The sequence below is a fragment of the Homo sapiens genome, chromosome 15 (assembly GCF_000001405.40).
Source record: "Homo sapiens chromosome 15, GRCh38.p14 Primary Assembly".
NCBI classification, from domain to species: domain Eukaryota; kingdom Metazoa; phylum Chordata; class Mammalia; order Primates; family Hominidae; genus Homo; species Homo sapiens.
In genome coordinates, this window is record NC_000015.10 from 71,953,632 (window position 1) to 71,976,760 (window position 23,129).

The following is a 23,129-nucleotide window of genomic DNA, read 5'->3' on the forward strand; positions in this document are numbered from 1 at the left end:
GCTTTGTCTCACCACCATGCCTAGATTAGTTTCTTTAACCTCTCTCCTGTTCTTTCATTCTGCTTTCTATACCTTTTTACAGTTTTGAACGTTATTTTCCAGACTGTGACATAATTTCTAAATCTTAAAGTGATATTCCCTGTTTGTTTTATGTACCAAACCCCTGCCAAGGTAGTTTGGTTTCCCAGGATGGTTTATATTTTCAGTGGGGATTCTTTTCTGAGGAGTCTCATCAACTGTTTTTTTGTTTTGTTTTGTTTTGTTTTGTTTTGTTTTGTTTTTTGAGAGGGAGTCTCACTCTGTCGCCAGGCTGGAGTGCACTGGTGCAATCTCGGCTCACTGCACCCTCTGCATCCCGGGTTCAAGCGATTCTCCTGCCTCAGCCTCCGGAGTAGCTGGGACTACAGGCACGCACCACCATGCCCAGCTAATTTTTGTATTTTTAGTGGAGATGGGGTTTCACCATGTTGAGCAGGATGGTCTCGACCTCCTGACCTCGTGACCTGCCTGCCTCAACTTCCCAAAGTGCTGGGATTACAGGCATGAGCCACTGTGCCCGGCCATCATCAACTCTTTTTTCTTTTTTTAAGATGGAGTCTTGCTCTGTCGCCCAGGCTGGAGTGCAGTGGTGCGATCTCCGCTCACTGTAACCTCCGCCTCCCAGGTTGATGCCATTCTCCCACCTCAGCCTCCTGAGTAGCTGGAACTACAGGCGCCAGCCACCACGCCTGGCTAATTTTGTTTTTGTATTTTTAGTAGAGACAGGGTTTCACCGTGTTAGCCAGGATGGTCTCTATCTCCTGACCTCGTGATCCACCTGACTCGGCCTCCAAAGTGCTGGGATTATAGGCGTAAGCCACCGCACCCAGCCTACTCATCATCAACTCTTAAAAGAGATTTATTTAGTATTTGCTTATGCTAGTTGCTGGACTGGTTGTGATGATAATTTCTTAGTTTGACATTATGCACCAAACACATAGTATAAATTCAGACCCCATACTCATATATGGTGCAGATGTGGGGCATTGATTTTTTTAAAGGTAACTTCTTTTTAACCTTATCTAAGGCCTAACACAGATTGCTAAGGCTCCTCATTTTTTCTTATGCAGGACCAGCAATTTTCAATAATTTTTTTAGTGACAGAAAAGTTCCATAACTTTGAAGGACTTGGACTATGTAACAGAGGCTCAGTCCCAGCTCCAAAGTATCATTCAGACCTTAGGCAATATCTTTGGCCCTATAAAAGTTTCTGTAATGTCAATTCAAAGGCCTTAAGGCCATTTTTAAAAGCCATATTTCACAAACATAAAATAACGCTTTTCTTAAGTACTCAGTTTGATGAATTTAAACAAACGTTTACATCCACAAAATCCTGAATCAAGATAGAGAACATTTCTATCACCCCCCCAAGTTATTTTATCTCCCTTCCTATCAATACTACCCTTGCCCCTGATCCCACCAGAAGTAATCAAGTTCTGATTTGTCACAATTTATTACCTTTTTTTTTTTTTTTGAGATGGAGTTTCGCTCTTGTTGCCCAGGCTGGAGTGCAATGGTTCAATCTCAGCTCACCACAATCTCCACCTCCTGGATTCAAGCTATTCTCCTGCCTCAGCTTCCCAAGTAGCTGGGATTACAGGCATGCGCCACCAAGCCCGGCTAAATTTTTGTATTTTTAGTAGAGACAGGGTTTCTCCATGTTGGTCAGGCTGGTCTTGAACTCCTGACCTCAGGTGATCCACCCACCTTGGCCTCCCAAAGTGCTGGGATTACAGGCGTGAGCCACTGGGCCCAGCCATGTTGTCTGTTCTTAAACTAAAGAAATAACACAGCATATATTCTTTCATATCTAGCTTTTTGCTGAGGATTTTTTGTGACTCATTCATTCTGAGTATCAGTGGTTTGTTTCTTTTCATTGCTGAGTAATGTTACATGGTAGGAGTATATCACAATTTGGTCATCCATTCTTCCACTGATGAACATTCAGGAACTATTATGAATAAAAGCACTTTAGAATATTCTTTTTTATATGTTTGTAACAGTTTTATTGAAATACAATTCACCTACTAAACAATTCCTTGATTTAAAGTATACAATTAAATGCTTTTAGTATAATTCATGAAGCTACATAAACATTACCACAATCAATTTTAGAACATTTTGATCATACAAAAAGATACTCACACTCTCTATCATCCTCCCCATCTCTTAGCTCTATACCTGACCCTCTAGCCCTAGGCAAACACTAATCTAAGTTCTGTCTCTACAGATTTGCTTATTCTGGACAATTCACATAAATGGAATGATACAATATTCCATTTTGTAATATAGAGTATTGTATGATTCCATATTACAAATATGGAAACTGTACTTCTTTGATATAATGAGAACCAGGCATGGTGGCTCGCACCTGTAATCCCAGACACTCGGGGGGAGGCTGAGCAGCGAGGATCACTTAAGGCCAGGAGTTCAAGACCAGCCTGGGTAATACAGCAAGACCCACCTCCAAAAACAAATTTAAAAAAAGAAAAGGCCAGGCATGGTGGCATGTGCCTGTAGTTCCAGTGTCTTGAGATGCTGAAGCAGGAAGATAACATGAGCCCAGGAGTTTGAGGCTACAGTGAACTGTGATAGCACCACTGCATTCCAACACATGCAACACAGCGAAACCCGGCTCTTAAAAAAAAAAAAAAAAAAAAATATATATATATATATATATAAAATACGCCCAGCGTGGTGGCTCACGCCTGTAATCCCAGAACTTTGGGAGGCCGAGGCAGGTGGGTCACCTGAGGTCAGGAGTTGAAGACCAGTCTGGCCAACATAGTGAAACCTCGCCTCTACTAAAAATACAAAAATATAAAAATAGCCAGGCATGGTGACGAGTGCCTGTAGTCCCAGCTACTAGCGAGGCTGAGGCAAGAGAATCGCTTGAACCTGGGAGGTGAAGGTTGCAGTGAGCCAAGATTGCACCACTGCACTCCAGCCTGGGCGACAGAGCGAGACTCCGTCTCAAAAAATATATATATCTATATATATCTATCTATATATCTCTCTTATATACACGTAGCATATGTGTGTAGCATATGCATTAGCATATATACACATATGTAGCATATATAGCATATATTCATATATGTAGCATGTATGCTATATATGTATATATGTATGCTATATATATATGCTATATATGCTATATATATATACACACACACACACACACACACAAATATATATATATATATATATATATCTTAATGCTTTCAAGGTTCATTCATATTGTGGCATGTACCAGTATTTCATTTCTTTTATGGCCAAATAACATGCCATGTATGGATATACCACCTTTTGTTCATCCATTCATCAGTTGATGGAACATTTGGGTTGTCTCTACTTGTTGGCTATTAGAAAGATGTTGTAAAGAATATCTGTCTACACATTTTGTTTTGTTTGTTCTTCTAAGTACATACCTAGGAGCAGAATTGGTGGGTCAAATACAATTCTATATTTAACTTTCTGAGGAACTGCCAAAACGTATTACGGAGTGGCTACATCAGTAGTATACAAGACTTCTAATTTTCCATATCCTCACTAAAATATGTATTAGGCACTGTCTTTACTGATATTCAGCCTTTTGTCTTGTATAAATACTTCTCAGGTTACTGGGAGCCTTTGATTAAATTCCAGGGTTCTGACAAAGTTGTTTTGACAATTTTTGCCAATTTTCTCATTGCTATTATGAAAAAAAATTTAGAGGTCCTTACCCCACCATTTCACTGATGTCTATCCAAAACCCTTATTCTTAATTGCCCTACTATACTGCCCAATACAGAAGTAATTTATAAAAAAAGTCCTTTTTTTTTTAACAAAAGTTTATTTAAATCTATTAAGTACTAGGAAGAATTGTGTACAGAGTACAGCATAGAGATTCTAGACTTATGGTGATACCCAAATCAATTTTAGTATCTGGTCATTTTTGAAAATAGATGGTCACTAGAACGCTTCTCCCACTTACATAAACAAACAGAAGTACATCAGAGTTACATAGTCTATTGAGTGGGATGAAGAAGAGAAACAGGTTCTGTGGAAAACCTTGAAGCTCTCTCATCTGCAGACACTATATAAAGGGTTTCAGCTTCTCTCTTTGTAGATGAAGAAACTGAAAAATACTTTGGACCCTCTTGTTCACGTCTCATCCTGATGGCACAGCTGAATTACCCATCTTTGCCTAGCCTTTTTAGACTAGTTTAAATTCCTATTTGGCTATACTTTTATTAATAACTCCAAAAGAATCAAATAAAGCATCATTGTACTCAGTTCTACATACTGTATAATTCCCAGTCAGGTTATTTCTGTATAATTCCCAGTCAGGGTGTTTCTTGACAATTAACTAAGAGTCCACTGAAGTTTTTAATTAAGATATCATCAAAGGAAATAAAAACATACTGTAATTCTGCAGATTTCATCTTCTTTCTTCTTTAGAAAGTATTATCTTTGCCCTCTTATTCTCATATCCAACATCTAGAATTGGTCACCTCACCTTTTCTGCCTTTCATATTTTCTACTTCGTCTTAATCTGTAATTCCTATTTCATCTTAATATGACTGCATAATATTTACGGTCATTATAAAAATTCTGGATCTACCATTTAAACCATTTTTACAATCTGTTAGTTTTTACAGTGATACAATGTTCCAACTTTATAATATGTTTTTATCCTAAACCTACCAAAAGAGAGTAGGTAGGAAGCGGTGTGGAGAAAATAAAACGTTAGGGTGAATGCTGGCATTGACACTGATATATTGTAATATAAACAATTACTTTCGGAAACAAATCTGCTCAGGCTTCAAAATGCAAACAAACTAGAGTTTTTCTTTTCCTTTATAAAAAGTAAAAATTTTAAAGTTTTTTCCAAGGAGAAATTTTGGGTGGCTGGAATGTTGTGTTTCTTAACCTAGGTGGTAGTTCCAGGGTTGTGTTTACTTTGTGGTACTCCACTGAACTATACATTTTTGCTTTGTGTACTTTTGTATATGCATGTTATGTTGAATACAAATTTTCAAAAAGAGATTATTATATGGAAGCTCTGTACTAGCCAGAAGGGAAAACAAGATTAGAAAATAAGGAATCTAGACTTTATCAAGGTAGAGAAAATACAGGTTGTTTATCATTAATAACATTGCATGTCATTGCCGATATTGATAATAACAGATATGTAACAACTAGCTTTCACAAATAATAGATTTTAAATGCCAAAGGAATATACAGATAATGTGAATAAAGTAAATAGGCTTTGACAGTAAATACAAGAAAAGTTTCTTCTCTTACTCAATTATGTCTTAGCAGGATGCTAATCAATTTTGAGTGGTTTTCTTGATTAGAAGTTTGTCATAATAAACAAGAAAGCATCTTAAAGAAAAAAAATTTTCCTTAAAGCTTTTTACAAAGATAACCTCTTAGAAATCACTTTGTAAAAGGCAAAGCAGGTTTGAGATAGTCCTTTTATTTCTCTAATAAACTATAATTCTCCCTATACATCTACAAAGACCAGTTCAAATACTTTACAATCTAAAAAATGGAAACTAGGTTCAATTATTTTACATGTATTTTTAGAAATACACTCTCTCAAATATATCTATTTGTCTCAAACATTTAAAAGCTAAACTTAAAAGTTTTACTACTAGTGCACATCCCAAAAAGCCACGTAAATCACTTTGGGAGTCCTGAAAGCACAGGTGAGCCCTATAACATTTCTACTGAAAGGCATAAATCTCAACTGCATATGTATCACAAAATCTTCTCTATGCAGCAATGGCCCTATCTAAGACTAGAGCTACAGCAAACAATAGTTTGGTTTCCAGTAGGCCAAAAGTGCTTATGAAGTTGCCCTCCCACAGAAAATGAGATGAGAGATTTTATGATTGAAGGGGGAGGCATACAGAAAAAGTATCCTGCTTTATCTATTTCTAAATTTCAAAGTTTTTAAAAATCCATGAACTAAGAGTAAAGGAAAAGAAAATGAACACTTCATGAACAGATGCTCTGACTTTATCCTCATTATTTTAAAGGCAGTATAACTCTTTTACAGAAAAGAAAAACTGTTCATAGTCACAAATCAGTTAAGAGATGACACTAGATTGACTACAGAAGCAGGATTTTTGTCCTTGAGAATCTCATAGCAAGAATTCTACTCCTTTTTGTGGAGAAGTAGAAAGGTAAAAAAAAAAAAAAAGATGAAGTATGGTAGAATACTAATAACTACTACTTACCAGTTTTTCTGTGAATGTTTCTTTTCCCAGCTTCCCTGAAAGCAACCATGGCTCTGAAAAAAGCTCGGAGAATTGCCCATCGGAAAACAGCTACAGGATCAATTCCAATCATCCCAGAGATAAATGCATTCTTGCTGCTTCTCAGAAGAGCTACAATGTCTGGGCGCATATGATCTGTATTTTTTTCCCGGAAATCCTATATGAAAAAAGTACCAGTGTTACTTATGGGAAAAAAAAATTATGAAAAACAAGATGACGGGTGATAACATACTTTGGATGCTTGTCCCTCCAAACCTCATATTGAAATGTGATTCCCCCATGGTGGAGATGGGGCCTGGTAGGAGGTGTTTGGGTCATGGAGGCAGATCCCTCATGAATGGATTGGGGCTCTCTTCAAAGTAATGAATGAGTTTTTGTTCTGAATTCACCAAAATCTGGTTATTTAAAAGTGTGGCACTCCTACTTCTCCATCTCGTTCCCTCTCTCTTGCCATGTGACACATGTGCTTCCACTTTGCCTTCCACCACAAGTAAAAGCTCTCTGAGGCTTCACCAGAAGCCAGGTAGATATCAGTGCTCTGCTTCCTGTACAGCCTGAAGAATCGTGAGCCAATTAAATCTCTTTTCTTTATAAGTTGCCCAGCCATAGGTGTTTCTTTATAGAAACATAAGAATGGACTAACCCAAGTGACATGTTTGAACAGTGGTTGAACAATGAGATAGAAGAAATGTCTGCTCCAGGTAGCTAACTGGACCGGGTATCTTCTATAAGGTCTCATCCAATCCTAAAACTATTGATTTCTATAATACATGTAAGTTAGAATAAATATTCTATAATTTTATAGCAGCTTGTTAAACTCTGGTCAGGGACAGCCTCTCCAAAGAGGTATCACATACAGCAACAGGAGAGCTGAATAACAAAAAGAAGCCAGAGATGAGAAAACTGGGAAGAGCAAGCAAGGGTAACACCTATAACCTATAGATGATGATAAGCTGGACAAGTTAGGAGAAAAAGGATAAAAACCACAGGCTGGAGCACTGGGGACAAGGAGAAAGTGTGGAAGATTAGATAAATAAATAGGCTATTTAGACTCTGAACTTCAGTTGTTTGTTCAGATTTTATTCAAGTATAAAGGAAAGCCCTGGAAAGGTAACAACATGAGCTAACTGGTGTCTTATACATTGGTTGCTGCATAGGAAATGAATTATTCAAAGAAAGAATGGAAAAAAGGAGGCACAATATTAGAGTAAACCAGGTAAGAACTGCTAGTAACTTGGACTTGGTCAGTTGTAACAGCAGAAATAAAAAATAGCTATATTTGGGACATGTAAAGGCAAAAAACCTGCTGATTAATTAGGGTATGATGAGAAAATGAGGAAATCAGGTTAAAACTTACATTTTGGGGTTGGGTATTTAGTGGATGGAGATGCCATATACTGATAAGGAGAAGACTAGAGAAAGGAAAGTTATGAGGATAAGAAATGAAGACCAAGAGATCAGTTTTTTCCAAGTGAAGTTTGGGCCAGTGAGGATAATAATAGTAGGTAACACTTGAGAGGTTAGTATGTGTCTGGCACTCTTCTAAGTATTTTACATGTATTGTCTCATGTAATCTCATTTAATACTCCTAATAATCCTTTCAGATAGATATTACTACTCTCATTTTATAGATGAGAAAACTGAATCAGAGAGAGGTGAAATATCTTGGCTCCTATCACACAATAAGTGGAAGAGCAAGGGCTCAAAAACATTCACTCATAACCAAATGGATGTGTGAGTCTGGAGTGCTAGGGAGATTTCAGAAATTATATTTGGTTATTATCACCATATAGATTTTTTTTTTTAAACAAGGTCTCGCTCTTCAATACAGTGCAGTTGGCACCATCATAGCTCACTGCAGCTTGTTAACTCCTGGACTCAGGCAATCCCCTGCCTCAGCCTTCCGTGTACCTGTGAGTACAGATGTGCATCACCACGTCTGGCTAATTTTTTTTCATTATTTTTGTAGAGACAGAGTCTTGCCATGTTGCCCAGGCTGGTCTTGAACTCCTGGCCTCAAGTAATTCCCCCACCTCAGCCTCCCAAAATGCTGGAATTACAGGTGTAAGCCATTGTGCCCAGCCAGCACACAGATTTTTAAAACTGAATAAGAAGGATTGTAAATAGGCAGGGACAACCATCTACCAAAGAACAGAGGTTGGAGGAGCTAGAACATAAGAAAATGGGTTAAAATGCACCATAAATAAATGGGGAGAGTAAGCTTCCACTCTGGGAACAAGGGCCCAGCCTGATATTACAGCATAGGCATTGACTATAATCTTACCAAATGGAAGGATTAAAAATTTGGTAAGTAAATCGCTCCAAGTTGGTACAGCTTCATAGAATATCTCTAACTCAGAATTCTATGAGAAACATACCTAGTATCATGTCATCTATCCTCATGTACAGAAGTCAGCTTGCACTTATCCTATTACTTTTAGGGTTTTCCTTTCCTAATTCTTCTTTATTCTCCTGAGAACAAGGAAAAACAGGAAACAAGCCAGGAATTTTGGTCCTTGGCTTGTCCTTACATACCCTTAGAGCAAACGTATGTATTATAAAAGAAAATTAGAAAAACTGAATAAGAGTACTCAAATCCAAATAACCTCTGACACCATAATCAGCAGCTAATAACTACTGATGGCAGACAAGCTGTGAGGCATGAACTTAATGTATTTTACGTAACTTATTTTTACCCAGTTCTAACAACTACTCAATAAAGCAGATTTAGTCATAAGCCATAATTTACTGATAAGTAAACAGAAAGGTAAAGCAGCTTGCCAAAGGTCAAAGAGACAATAAGTACCAGTGCAGAAACTGAAACACCAGTCTGCCCTACTCCTATTAATAACTACACTGTACAACCTAAAAACCTAGGATTCTTTTCAATGCTGACTGTCAAGTGTTGAGAGTGACCAGTGACCTTCATTTTCAAAATGAAATAATCTGTCTTCATATTTCTAGATTTCTAAGTACATTATCAACTGACCATATCATTCTTCTTCAAAATCTCTCTCTAGTTTCCACAAGAACATACTTTGTGGTTTACCATTTACCTCCTATACTGCCCTTCTAAGTCCTCATTGCTAGTTCATATTGGAAATTCAAGGGTGGGTTTAACAGTGTGTACTCATTTCTCTTTTTTTGGTTTGTTTGTTTTTTGAGACAGGGTCTTGTTCTGTTGCCCAGGCTGGAGTGCAGTGGCACCATCTCAATTCACTGCAACCTCTGCCTCCCGGGCTCAAGTGAATTCTACCCCTCTGCCTCCCAAGTAGCTGGGACTACAGGCACACACCACCATGCCCAGCTAACCATTGGTATTCTGTGTAGACACTAGGCCTTCCCATGTTCCCCAGGCTGATCTCGAACTCCAGGACTTAAGTGATCCACCCACCTCGGCCTCCCAAAGTGCTGGGATTACAGGAGTGAGCCACCACACCTGGCTGTGCACTCATTTCTTCACTCAACCCTCTTATATCAAGTGATCAGAACCAGAGTTACGACTTTATTTTATTTTATGTATTTAGAGACAGAGTTTCGCTCTTGTTGCTCAGGCTGGAGTGCAATGGCTTGATCTTGGCTCACCGCAACCTCCACCTCCTGGGTTCAAGCAATTGTCCTGCCTCAGCCTCCTGAGTAGCTGGGATTACAGGCATACACGCCACCACGCCTGGCTAATTTTCTATTTTTTTAGTAGAGACAGGGTTTCTTCATGTTGATCAAGCTGGTCTCGAACTCCTGACCTCAGGTGATCTGCCTGCCTTGGCCTCCCAAAGTGCTGGGATTACAGGCGTGAAGTTATGACTTTAAATTAACACCATCGCCCAAATGCAAATTTCCAGATCAGATCTTTCTTATTATTTCTTGAGATCCATTAACAAATCTTAAAGGATATGTCTAATTTGAAAGAAAATGTGTAAGACCAGTAGTACATTTAAATGTTTGGAAGCATTCACTAGTAAAACCATGTGGGCCTGGGATTTCCTCTGTGGAAAAGTTCTGAACTACTGATTCAAATTATTTAGCCAACAGAATTTTCAGGTTTTTCTATTTATTCTGGTGTTAGTTTTGGTAAAGTGTTTTTTAATGGAATTTATCCATTTTTTGTTTTCAAATTTCCTGACAAAATATATGCATATCCTTCTAATATCTGTAGGTTATGTAGTAAAGTTCTTTTTTCATTCCTGGTATCTGTAATCTATAATTTTTTTTATATTATCAGTTATTTTCCTATTGCATTTAATTTATATTATTTTGTGTTATCTTCTCAAGGAACTAACTTTTGGCTTAGTTGATTTCTTTGTTCAATGTCTGCTTTATATTGCACTGATTTCTGGTCTTATTTTTATACCCTTTCTCTAATTCCTTTGAGTGTGATTTCTCTTTTCCTAGTTTCTCACATAGAAGCTTAGAGAACCACTTTTCAATCAAGCATGGTGGCTCACACCTGTAATCCCAGCACTCTGGGAGACTGAGGTGAGCAGATCACTTGGGGCCAGGAGTTTGAGACCAGCCTAGCCAACATGGCGAAACCCCATCTCTACCAAAAATACAAAAACTGGCTGGGCGCGATGGCTCACATCTGTAATCCCAGCACTTTGGGAGGTCAAGGCTGGCGGATCACGAGGTGAAGAAATTGAGACCATCCTGGCCAACATGGTGACACCCCATCTCTACTAAAAAAAAAAAAAAAAAAAATTAGCTGGGCGTGGTGGCATGTGCCTGTAGTCCCAGCTACTCAGGAGGCTGAGGCAGGAGAATCACTTGAACCCGGGAGGCAGAGGTTGCAGTGAGCCGAGATCGCGCCACTGCATTCCAGCCGGGTGACAGAGTGAGACTCCATCTCAAAAAACAAAAACAAAAAAATTAGCCAGGCATGGTGGCACAAGCCTGTAGTCCTAGCTACTTGGGAGGCTGAGGAACGAGAATTGCTTGAACCCAGGTGGTGGTGGTTGCAGTACGCCAAGATCGCACCACTGCACTCCAGCCTGGGTGATAAAACAAGACTCTTGTCTCAAAAAAAAAAAAAGTTTAGATAACCACTTTTCAACTTTTCTTCCTTTCCAACATATGTATTTAAAGTTATAAACTTTCCTACATTCCTTGCTTTAACTGTATCCTACAAGTTTCTGATAGGCTGGATTTCATTAATGTTCAGTATAAAATATTATAATTTTAATAATTTATTATAAGTAATTTATATTGTCATTTCTTTTTTGACTCATGGGTTATTCAGAAGAGTTTTGCTTAGTTTCTAAATATCCAATGATTTTCTAAGTTATCCTTATGATGTGCTAATTAGGTCACCTATTTAACAGTGCTATTTGTATTGATTTTGTGTTGCTTGTTCTGTTAGTTACTAACAGAAATGTGTTAAAATCTATAATTTTTTCTTTTTTAAGTTTTTTTCTTTTTCCTTAGAAAAATATTGAAGAAAAAAATCTACAATTATGATGGTGCACTTATCTAGGTCTACTTTTGCTTTCCTTTTGCTTTATATATTTTAAATCAGTCATTAGCTACATATAATATCAAGTGGCTCATGCCTGTAATCCTAGCACTTTGGGAGGCCGAGGAGGGTGGATCAACTGAGGTCAGATGTTCGAGACCAGCCTGGCCAACATAGTGAAACCCCATCTCTAGTAAAAATACAAAAATTCGCTGGGCGTGGTGGAGTACGCCTCTGATCCCAGCTACTCAGGAGGCAGAGAATCGCTTAAACCTGGAGGGCGGAGGTTGCAGTGAGTCGAGATCACACCACTTCACTTCAGCCTGGCAAAAGAGCGAAGCGAGACTCCGTCTCAAAACAAACAAACAAACAAAAACCCCAAAAACATTTAGTGATTACGTCTTCCTGTTGAACTGGCCCCTTTTATCATTATAAAATGTCCCTTTGTATCTCTAGTAATATTTCTGGTCTTAAAGTCTATTTTGTCCTACAATTTTTTTTTTTTGGAGACAGAGTCTCACTCTCTTTCTCAGGCTGGAGTGAAATGGCACTATCTCGGCTCAATGCAACCTCCTCCTCCCAGGTTCAAGCACTTGTCCTATCTCACCCTCCTCAGTAGCTGGGATTACAGGCGTGCACCACCATGCCTGGCTAATTTTTGTATTTTTAGTAGAGATGAGGTTTCACCACGTTGACCAGGCTAGTCTCAGACTTATGACCTCAGATGATCCACCCATCTCAGCCTCCCAAAGTGCTGGGATTACAGGCGTGAGCCACCATGCCCAGCCTGTCCAGAAATAATATACACCAGCTTTTATCCTTTCTCCATCTTTTTACTTTCAACCTATCTGATAACGCAGATGAATATCCCAGGCAAGTGTGTGTGTGTGTGTGTGTGTGTGTGTGTGTGTGTGTGTGTATGATTCTATTTATCTGAAATTTAATTAAAAGTAAAATTAAGAATGATAAAAATTAGGGCAGTGGTAATCTCTGAGGGGAGCTGGCTGGGAAGGGGTATAAAAGAAATCTAAACACTTTATTTGTGCACTTTATGCACAATATCCTCAAGTTTTTCTATAGCTCAAGCTTTTGTTTTACTTTTTAAACTATAGTCTTAATTTCTATTCTAAAATCCATTCCTTCCAGTATTTTCCATCTTAGGAAATGGTACCTCCAAAGCACCCATCAGCTCTAGCCAGAGGTCACTTACTCATTTAGAGTCCATCAATAAAGTCTGTGGATGGTTTACCGCCAGAAATACATCTCATAATCATCTGGATCCCCCCCAACCTCTACTGCCACTCCAGTGCTTCAGTTTACCTTAAGATTTCACTTCAATTTAAAAAAAAGTGACTTAACTGATCTTCCAGATTCCACTCTTACCCTCTGCTATCCCTTCTCCTCAAGGTAATCAATGCAATCTTTTAAAAACACAAGTCGTATCCTCTGCTTAAAATATTATCACAGTGCCACTAATTTGGATAAAAGCCAAACTCAACTTGGCTTACAAGCCCTAAATAATAACCCCCTGTCTATTCTCTAAGTTCATTTCATGTTACTCTCCTTAGTTCATTATAATCTAGTAGCACTTACCTGTTTTCAATTATTTCACCATATCAAACTCCTATCTCCTGGCCTATAATATTCATCATCCGAACTCCTCATCAAGGTAACATTTATTTCAGGTCATCTCTCAAAATTTAAGTTTCTTAGAGAAGTGTTCATGTATTCACAAATTCAAAATCCACTATTTTACTACTTTCTCTCATAGGACCCATTAACTTATTTATAACACATAGCCCATTTATCTATGTTATACAAATAGATACACACACATATATATATGCACACACAATATGTATATATGCACATATGTATAGAGAATCAGGACTACATCTGTCTAGTTTATCATTAGATCATTCCAAACACCAAGCACAAAGTCTGACACATGTTCTGTGTTCAACAAATACTTCTTAAATAAATCAATAAATGGATGAATAAATGATCTTAAGACACTCGACTCAAGACCCAGGAGAAAACATTTAATTCCACTATTCTCCATATCATCAGCTGCCTTACCTGGGAAATTAAATGCCTGAAATAGCAGGCTTAAACATCAAGTAGTTAAAGAATAACAGACTCACAAATTACACAAGAAATGGACAACATTATTAAGATTCCACTCCACATAAGAGTTTCAATATATTCATGAAAAGTACGAACTGACAAATCCCTAATGGTGAACAGAGACATGAAGACCTTATGAGTGCAGAGAAGGGAAAAATTCAACAAATTATGTGCATAAACAAGTGAGTTTGGGATATACAGATGCAATCTATTCTTTCAGATCTAAAGTTTATCAGGATCAACTGACAACATCAGGTTTATCTCCAGGCAGAAACCAACAGAAACATTACCTTACCTAAGACAGTAATGTGCTGAAAAGCAGAATCTAAGTTTTAGTAGTATCTTTATACAATATCTCCAGTTATTACTGATCAAAAGCCTCCACAAACTACAAAGAGGGCAGTGTGCTGGGGACAGTTAAGAACACATCTCTGCCCTGTAAGCATATTCAGTGAGAAATTTACTGACCTTTACCCCATATTTTACTTTTCCAGCATAATGTTTTATAATGAAAGCAGGCTCCATCACGGCTGGAAATTCGATGTAAGAATTATCTTCATGTTGATGCTTAAACTTGTCTAGCAATGTTTGATTTGTAGCCTGTGGAAAGCTGAATTAAAAAAAAAAGAAAAAATATCATTACAGAAAGATGAGAAAGATGCGGTAATTAGTACAGCCCTTTTCAAAGTACATTACAATTACATTGCCATCTTACATAGCAGTTTACAAAAGTTTTCACCTATATTATCTAACCTGATTCTCATAACAAGCTAAAAAGTAATAATAAATATTGGTGTTACTATTTTATAGATGAGGGATCAAAAGTTATGATTTGCCTGTACTCATATTTTGCAAGTAGTAGTACCAAGAAATTAACTCATTACATATTTAGCTTAGATTGCAGTGTTCTGAACTACTATAAAACCCAAAGGAAAATAAAATCCAAATCATATACTCTTTGGGGCCAACAACTTCCAAATAAGAGAATAATATCTCGATTCTCATAGGTACTAAAAATCCATAAGAATTATTTGACTTCCTGTTCCTACATGCATAAATAAGTAGCCATTTTCTTACTATACCAATTATTTGTACTCATTGATTGTACTGATCAACTGAGCACTTAATATCCAGGAATCACACAAATAATATCTATTATTTAATCGCATAATAGGAAATATGGAAATACAAAAGTTCAAAAGAGGAAAAAAATCATCACTGGTGTAAATAATGAAAAAGTTCACACAGGACATAGTAGGTGTTAAGACTGTGATGTTAAAGGTTGGGAAGGGTTTCAAAGAGAGAAAATATCATTGACAGAAAAAGGAGAAAGAAAGTTTCAGAAAATAGCTTCATTTAATGGTAGCTGAAATAATGAAAAATAATGTGACATGAGGTTGTAAAGTTGCTTAATACAAATCTAATGTGTAAAAATCATTCCAAAATTACAACAAACATAGTTAATTACATAGTATGCATTGCAAACCATACAGAGAATGGCCTTTAGCATCAGATAATCATAGTTTACATTACGCATTCTATCAGTGACCTGGGGCAAACTAGGTAACCTTCTTTGAGAAGGGGTCTTCTAACCCACAAAATGAGATACCAGTTATCACAGTGCCAGTAGAATTAAATAAAACTAGTAAAAACATCTGGCAACCGCAGGCATCCTCTAGGGATTAAACAAACATCGACTTCATGTTGCCAACACTGATATTTTCTTGGTCACCTTGACCTGCTTTTGTATTCAAATATCTCTTCCTCAAAACATCTCTACCATCTAGCTCACTCCAAAACTTTAAAGCCATTTTACAATGGAATATAACTTACTATTTCAAACAGAGACAACAGCACAGCTCCTATAACAGTCTCACCAATCTTCTTTCAAGTCACCAAAGCATATTATCAAAATAAATTTTCCTATAATAGTGCTTTAATCATGTGCCCCCTCTGCTCCGAAATGTATAGATCACCAAGGCAAAAAGACTTGATTCCAAGCTCCAAAGCATAGGCCAGCTCAACCTCTGCAAACTTATATCTCACTACTTCACAGCAGTGTGCCTCTCTTAAGGCAGGATGCTCACTTCGTCGTCTCTAGGTCAGGGTTTATTTGCCTTCTAATCATCTGAGTAATTGAAAAGCTTATGATATACTTTCTCTTACTTTTAAATGGATAATAGAAATTTTCAAAGGAAGGAAGATAGACATGAAAACAGTCATTACTTGAAACTAAAAAAGATGGAAAGTTCCTGCATTCAACAGACATGTATGGATACTTATTACATTACCAGGCAAAAAAAAAAATTTGGAACACAAGAAAATCATTCATTATTGCTCATATCAAAGCTCTTCATCTAGTGTTCCTCAAACACTATCTGGAAGGGTAGCGTCAGGAGAACCTCTAGAGATTTGAAAACTACCAATGCCTGGATCCCAACTATTGCAATTCTGACTTAAATGATTAGGGAGATGACCTAGCATCAGTGGTATTTACAAAGTCCCAAGGTAATTCTCATGAGCAGGCAAGATTCACAAAATGCTGCCTTAAATGAATGCTCTAATCCTAACTTCGGTTGTTAAAATGTAGATTCTGATTCAACAGATCTGGAATGAAAGCTTGAGATTCTACATTTCTAACAAGAATCAAAGTGGTCCACTGCTGCTGATAGAAGATGACACTTTGAATACTATGGGAAGATTGATACTATTCCTAACATCCTATTCATATGTAACTCTGATACAATATTCCTCCTTCCTAAATGCCACCCTACATCCTACAGAATCTAGCTAAAGTAACCTGCCCCATAACATACAGCCATTAAGTAGGAAAGGCTAAACCAAGACCTCTGATTCTAAACCCATACACCTAGAGCACTACAAACACACTGCATGAAGAACACAACTAAGGATATATTTGACATTATATATTCCCTATAAAAAATATTTTTAGAGAAAAAATACTCAATGTAAGTCCCAAAATAGTTCTTCCTACATGTGACTAATTTATTTTCAATCTAGTTTTTTTACAGGTAAATGGGAGAGAAAAAAATATTTCATGCCTTTGCATCTTCTGGAATGTTAAAGCACAGAAATTCTTTACAAGGACAGGTAATAACTACAGGACTGACTCATAAAAAGGTTATTCAGTCCAGTATCCTACCTACAACAATACGCTGACAGATGATGCAAAGTAATTATAATAATAGGAAATTACATTAATTGTTAAAGCAGCTGCCAATCAGCTCTAATAATTATAAAGTTCTTCATTTTATTGAGCCAGAATTTATCTCCCTGATATTTATGGCCACATGGCTCAACCCTCGTAGCTTTCGGGTAACAGCAAATAAGTGACATTCTCGGCCGGGCGCAGTGGCTCACACCTGTAATCCCAGCAATTTGGGAGGCTGAGGCGGGTGGATCACAAGGTCAGGAGGTCGAGACCATCCTGGCTAACACAGTGAAACCCCATCTCTACTGAAAAAACACAAAAAAATTAGCCGGGCATGGGGGCGGGCGCCTGTAGTCCCAGCTGCTCGGGAGGCTGAGGCAGCAGAATGGCATTAACCCGGGAAGCAGAGCTTGCAGTGAGCTGAGATCGTGCCGCTGCACTCCAGCCTGGGCGACAGAGCGAGACTCCGTATCAGAAAAAATTAAAAAAAAAAAAAGAAGTGACATTCTCATTATTGGGTTAAATCTATGTGAAGTAGCAACTGGTCAGGAAATTATAGTCTTTGTATAATAAGATGTGCATTCAATGAAATTTTGTTTAAAGAATGACAGGACAGGACAGGCACAGTGATTCTCATATGTAATCCCAGCACTTTGGGAGGCTAAGGTAGGAGGACAGCTTGAGCCCAGGAGTTTGAGACCAGCCTGGGCAACAAAGTTGACTCCTTGTCTCTAAAACAACATTTTAAAATTAGCCAGACGTGGTGGTATGTGCCTGTAGTCCCAGCTACTCAGGAGGCTGAGGCGAGATCACTCGAGCCCATAAATTCAAGGCTTCAGTAAGCCATAACCGCACCACGGCATTCCAGCCTGAGCTACAGAGCTAGACACTGTCTCAAAAAAAAAGAAAAAAAAAGAAAAAAAAAAAACAAAGTAATTCTACTACCTCAGTTGCTGTTTACAAACACCTTAAGATATATAGGACGGAACATCATCATGTACCATTGTCATTTGCCTTCTGCATACAAGAAAACTGAGGACTAAGGATATTATGAGATCTGCCAAGGGTAGTTTTGATATATACAGTTGTGATATTATAAATAAATAAATATATATATTTATTTTTATATATATAGGTTTTCATCCACGGTTCCTGGCTCATAACTCCTGCAGCCCTTGGTGTAGTCTTTTGTTATAATGTTGGGGTGCTTTAGGCCTCAGGAGCAGGCCTCAGGAAACAGAATCTCTCTCTCTAACCTTCTTCTGTCCTCCTTTTACCTGCCCAAGGGAGGCCTCTAATATGATTGCCGGTTAAAAGACCCTCATTCCAGAAAGGGTCCCTCCCCATATTCTGAAAGAAAAAATGCTGCACAAGAAGCCAGGAAGAATCTGGACAGACAGGCCTTGCTGGGTTTCCCACTCATGAGATCATGTTCTTTTGTCCAATCACATTTCTACACAGGGTCAATAGTGCCTATGTAATGAAGCCTCCATAAAAACCCAAAAGGACAGCACTTAGAGAGCTTCCAGATAGCCGAACATATGGGTGCTCCTGGAAGGTAGAGTGCCCAGGAAGGACATGGAGACTCTCTACTCCTTCCCCCATACCTTGCCCTACACATCTCTTCATTGTATCCTTTGCAATATCCTTTATAATATACTGGGGTAAATGTAAGTAAGTGTTTCCCCAAGTTCTGCAAGCCACTCCAGCAAATTAATTGAACTCAAGGAGAAGCTGGTTGGTCAGAAGTTCTGGAAGAGTAGATTATTGACTGGTGTTTGAAGGTGGGGTGGGGTGCAGTTTTGGGGACTGAGTCCTCGATCTGTGGGATCTGATGCTACTTCCAGGTAGATAGTATCAAATTTGAATTAGAGGACACCCAGTTGGTGTCCACTGCTTGCTGGTGGGGAAAACCCCACAAACGTTTGGTCACAGATGTCTTCATGTTGATTGTTATGGTGTGAGAGCAGAGGAAAACATGGTTTTAATGTTTTTCCCAAATAACTGGTGTCAGAGAAGTGAGATTTGCTAAAAAGGCCCTGGCTCACTGAAACATGTGGTTTGGGAAGAAAAAGGATAAAAGGGTAGAAGATGAGAAACCTTTGTTCTGGTGTGGCCACATGGTCACCCAAGGTATGAAGCCATAGCTGCTATGCTCGGTTATTAAAGGTAAAAGTTATCAGTGGAATTTAGAGATGGTTCCAACTCCTGGGGAATTGGTTCACTGGCTGCATAAGGAAATGCAAACTAATAAGAAAAAAAATGAACTGGCTGTTATAAATAAATAGCCATAAAACTAGCTATTATAAATAAATAATCCCTTAATTATTGTTATTTATAATAGCTAAAATGAAATTTAAAGAGAGTACTGTGTTGGTCCTTGAAGCTGGATAAACCTCAGATCTTGGTCTGTTTGAGCTCAGGCTGCTGGCCTCAAAGCCACCCTCCAAGGACAGAATTGTGCAGGGGCAACAAAGTACCTCTGAGACATGTGGTTACCAAGAAGGTAGTCAATGTGGAAAAAGGGCAAAACGAAGTAACTGCACCCCACCCCACCTTCAGACACCAGCCAATAATTCATGCCTCCAGAACTTCTGACCAACCAGCTTCTCCTTGAGTTCAATTAATTTGCATAGTGTGAAGGAATAGTTCCATTTTGTAGATTGGTATCATTAGCTTCCTAAAGAACCTTTACTAAAATGGATTATGAGAGTAACTACATTAGGGGCAGTAGCTTTGGTTTAAATGCTACCGTGGAAAACATGTTTGGGTTGATGTAGGACACAGGGCTCACTACTAAGCAATCTCAGACATCTATACATGATTGAGACACACAGGACGTTATTCCCAAGGCAACAGCCAGCATAGTGGACTGGATAAAAGCCACTGTATGATCTTTTTACTCTGGAAAGGGGGATTGCCCAACTTTCCCTAGAAATGCCAAGCAGAACAACCCAGATGAAGCAGCTGATATGCTTCATATGCAAGCTACGTAAGACTAGCTTTATGATGATAAGGATATTCGCCCAATGAATGTGTCTGTTATCTACTTACGAGGTTACAGTAAATGCTGTAGTTAAGGGGGTCCCTTCTACATAGGTCCATGAAATGAGCAGATATGGGGGTACTACAGCAGTGCTGAGAAGCGCTAAATCTAGACATTCCTCTTACACCTTCTCTCAAGCACAAAATGCCAATAAGAACTGTTCTTTTTGTCAGCAAGAGAGTCTGAGACTTCCAATGGCTATGTGGCAGTTTCCTTAGTGGGAAGACCCTGAATGTAGAAGGTAAGTGAGACTGATGCTGGTAGCCCTGGGGGGCTACAAATGAATGGGTCTTGACAGGAATAGTCACCGACTCTGAAGTGAGCTTTCCTTACCCAGTGGAAGATGCAAATGCTCAGAGTGCCATTTAAAAAACAAACAAACAAACAAAAACCAAAAAACAGAAAATATCGCATGGATTTGGACAATCATCATCTTTTCAGAACGAGAAACACATTGTACAGCCTACCATGTCCAACAAAGAGGAAAAAAAAATCCTCCTCAGAGTAACAGTTTGATGAAGGAGTAGGATGGGCAATTAAAACACTGGTTGTCTAAAACACAGGAAGATAAAAGAATGAAGGGCTGGCTTGCATGCTTTCACGAGTGTGTGCTCACATTCAACATGAGTGGGACTAAAGGAGCATCCCCTTAGATTTTTCTTGTTTTTCTGGTTCATCTGGGAAAGAGGCGGTTGGGGAAGGTGCTGGTATGACTATCCAATTCTTCCCAAGGGAGGAGTACACTGGTATAACAACTATAATTTTTTTCTTCCCCAGATGACCTCAAAAAGAAAAAACTTTTTTTCTCTCCGCTACCAGATGCAGTGGTCCTAGGACAAGGGCTGCAACTGCAAGTGCTGGAAGCAGGGATGATTTCTAAGCAAGAAACTGTAACTACATTTTTAAACCTTAAGTCAAAATTCCTAAGGGCATAATGGGGGTGGGTTGTACCTTCACTCTATCTAGCAAAATTGGGGCTAAGAGTGAATGCAACTACTACTTTTCCTGGCCATAAAAACAGCTCACTAGTTCTGCACCCATGTAATTTACCCTATCTAAAGGGGAGTGGACTGAGGAGGAGGTACTTGCTAGACTAGAGTTGTTGTCTGCAATCTAAACCAGCACAGTGGCAATTCTTAATGTGCCTTCCAAAGGAGGAAAAGTTTGGGAACTACTGGAGAGGAGGAATAGCAGCTGAGGGTAAAGACAGGAATAAATGGGTTATTCATTGAGGGAAATCCAACATTACATTAACACATTTAAAGAAGCTCAGAGCAAGAGATGACACTGTCTTTAACTCAGTTATAAGAGATGCTCAAAAGGTAAAAGTTGTATGTTTGCGGAGACTGCTCCTGCTTCTGGAATCTGACAAGACTGAAAGGAAGCCTGCAAACTTGAGTGGTCTCTCCCTGGGAGACATATTCATACAACATGATAATGAACTGGACTAATTACTAATGACTGAATGGGATTCTAGTAATGTAGCAGTATGTTTGAGTTGTATATTCTTTTGATGATGTAAAGGATCCATGTTTGAAAGCCAGGGCGTGGCCTATGACATGATTTTATCGTGTGTGTGTGTGTGTGTGTAGGTTTTCGTCCATGGTTCCTGACTTATTAACTACCACAGCCCTTTGGCCTATGACGTGATTTTATCGTGTGTGTGTGTGTGTGTGTGTGTGTGTGTGTGTGTGTAGGTTTTCGTCCATGGTTCCTGACTTATTAACTACCACAGCCCTTGGTGTAGTCTTTTGTTATAATGTTGGGGTGCTTTAGGTCTCAGGAGCAGGTCACAGGAGTGCTTTAGGTCTCAGGAGCAGGTCACAGGAGCAAGCCTCAGGAAACAGAATCTTTCTCTCTAACCTCCTGTCTTCCTTTTACCTGCCCAAGGCAGGTCTCTAATCTGATTGTGAATCAAAAGATCCTCATTCCAGAAAGGGTCCTGCCCCATACTCTGAAGGAAAGAATGCTGCACAGAGAGGCCAAGAAGAATCTAGACAAACAGGCCTTACTGGGTTTCTCACTCAGTCTATTAGTATGAGATCATACTCTTTTTGTCCAATCACATTTCTACACAGTTGTCAGTAATGCCTATGTAATGAAGCCTCCATAAAAACCCCAAAAAAGAGCATTCAGAGAGATTCTGAATAGCTGAACATGTGGGAGTTCCTGGAGGGTGGTACACCCAGGGAGGACATGGAGGCTCTGTGCTCCTTCCCCCACACCTCGTCCTACGCAGCTCCTCATTGTTTCGTTTTCCCTGAGTTCTGCAAGCTGCTCGGGCAAATTAATTGAACTCAAGGAGAACCTGGTTGGTCAGAAGTTCTGGAGGCATGGATTACAGGCGGGGGTCTGAAGGTGGGGTGAGGTGCAGTTTTGGGGACTGAGCCCTCGATCTGTGGGATCTGATACTACCTCCAGGTAGACAGTGTCAAATCTGAATAGAGGATACCCAGCTGGTGTCCACTGCTTATTAGTGGGGAAAAAACCCCACACATTTGGTCACAGAAGTCTTCTGTGTTGATTACTGTGGTGTTAGAGTAAAGGAAAAACACAGTTTGAGAGTTTTTCTGTAACAGTAGTTATAGAAATGGGATACAAGTCCTGGACTTCTGACTCTAACACCTAAATATTACAGGGAAGCAATATAATACTTCAAAGCACAAGCTTATTAGTCAGAAATACTTGACAGGTTTGACTCTCAGGTCCTCCATTTCCTACCTATATAATCTTTTTTCTTGGATTGTTTCTTAAACTTTCTTTTGTTACTATAAAATTCCCCAAACAAAAAGAAATGCTAATCATTCCATTATCAACCACAACGGTTCTCAACACGGAATATCAAAATCACCTATAAAGCCTTCCCAAATAAACATATACCAGAGGTAGGGTATACAAACAGTGAATTACAAACCTTACAATTTTATGAGAGACAATAATTATGTTGGGGCATATAGAGTAATGCAAGAAACTTTTACAAAACTCTGGACAGAAAATTAAGGTACTTTTTACTTGTGTTAACAGCAT

General features: G+C 38.7%; 1 protein-coding gene and 1 long non-coding RNA gene across 53 annotated transcripts in view; one reads left to right on the top strand and one right to left on the bottom strand.

Moving 5' to 3' along the window:
* MYO9A (myosin IXA) overlaps positions 1-23,129 on the bottom strand; it is a 296,310-nt gene that overhangs the window by 131,341 nt on the left and 141,840 nt on the right. For all 50 annotated transcript variants that reach the window (XM_047432576.1, XM_047432553.1, XM_047432585.1 and 47 more), the window contains 2 exons: positions 14,353-14,494; positions 6,270-6,465 (listed from right to left, as the gene is read on the bottom strand). In XM_047432576.1, the coding sequence (XP_047288532.1) occupies positions 6,270-6,465; positions 14,353-14,494 (338 nt within the window). The remainder of the gene's footprint in view (positions 1-6,269; positions 6,466-14,352; positions 14,495-23,129) is intronic.
* Positions 18,576-23,129, top strand: part of MYO9A-AS1 (MYO9A antisense RNA 1) — a 64,558-nt gene continuing 60,004 nt past the window's right edge. For all 3 annotated transcript variants that reach the window (XR_001751798.3, XR_007064705.1, XR_001751797.2), the window contains exon 1: positions 18,576-18,686. This is a non-coding gene — a long non-coding RNA (MYO9A antisense RNA 1). The remainder of the gene's footprint in view (positions 18,687-23,129) is intronic.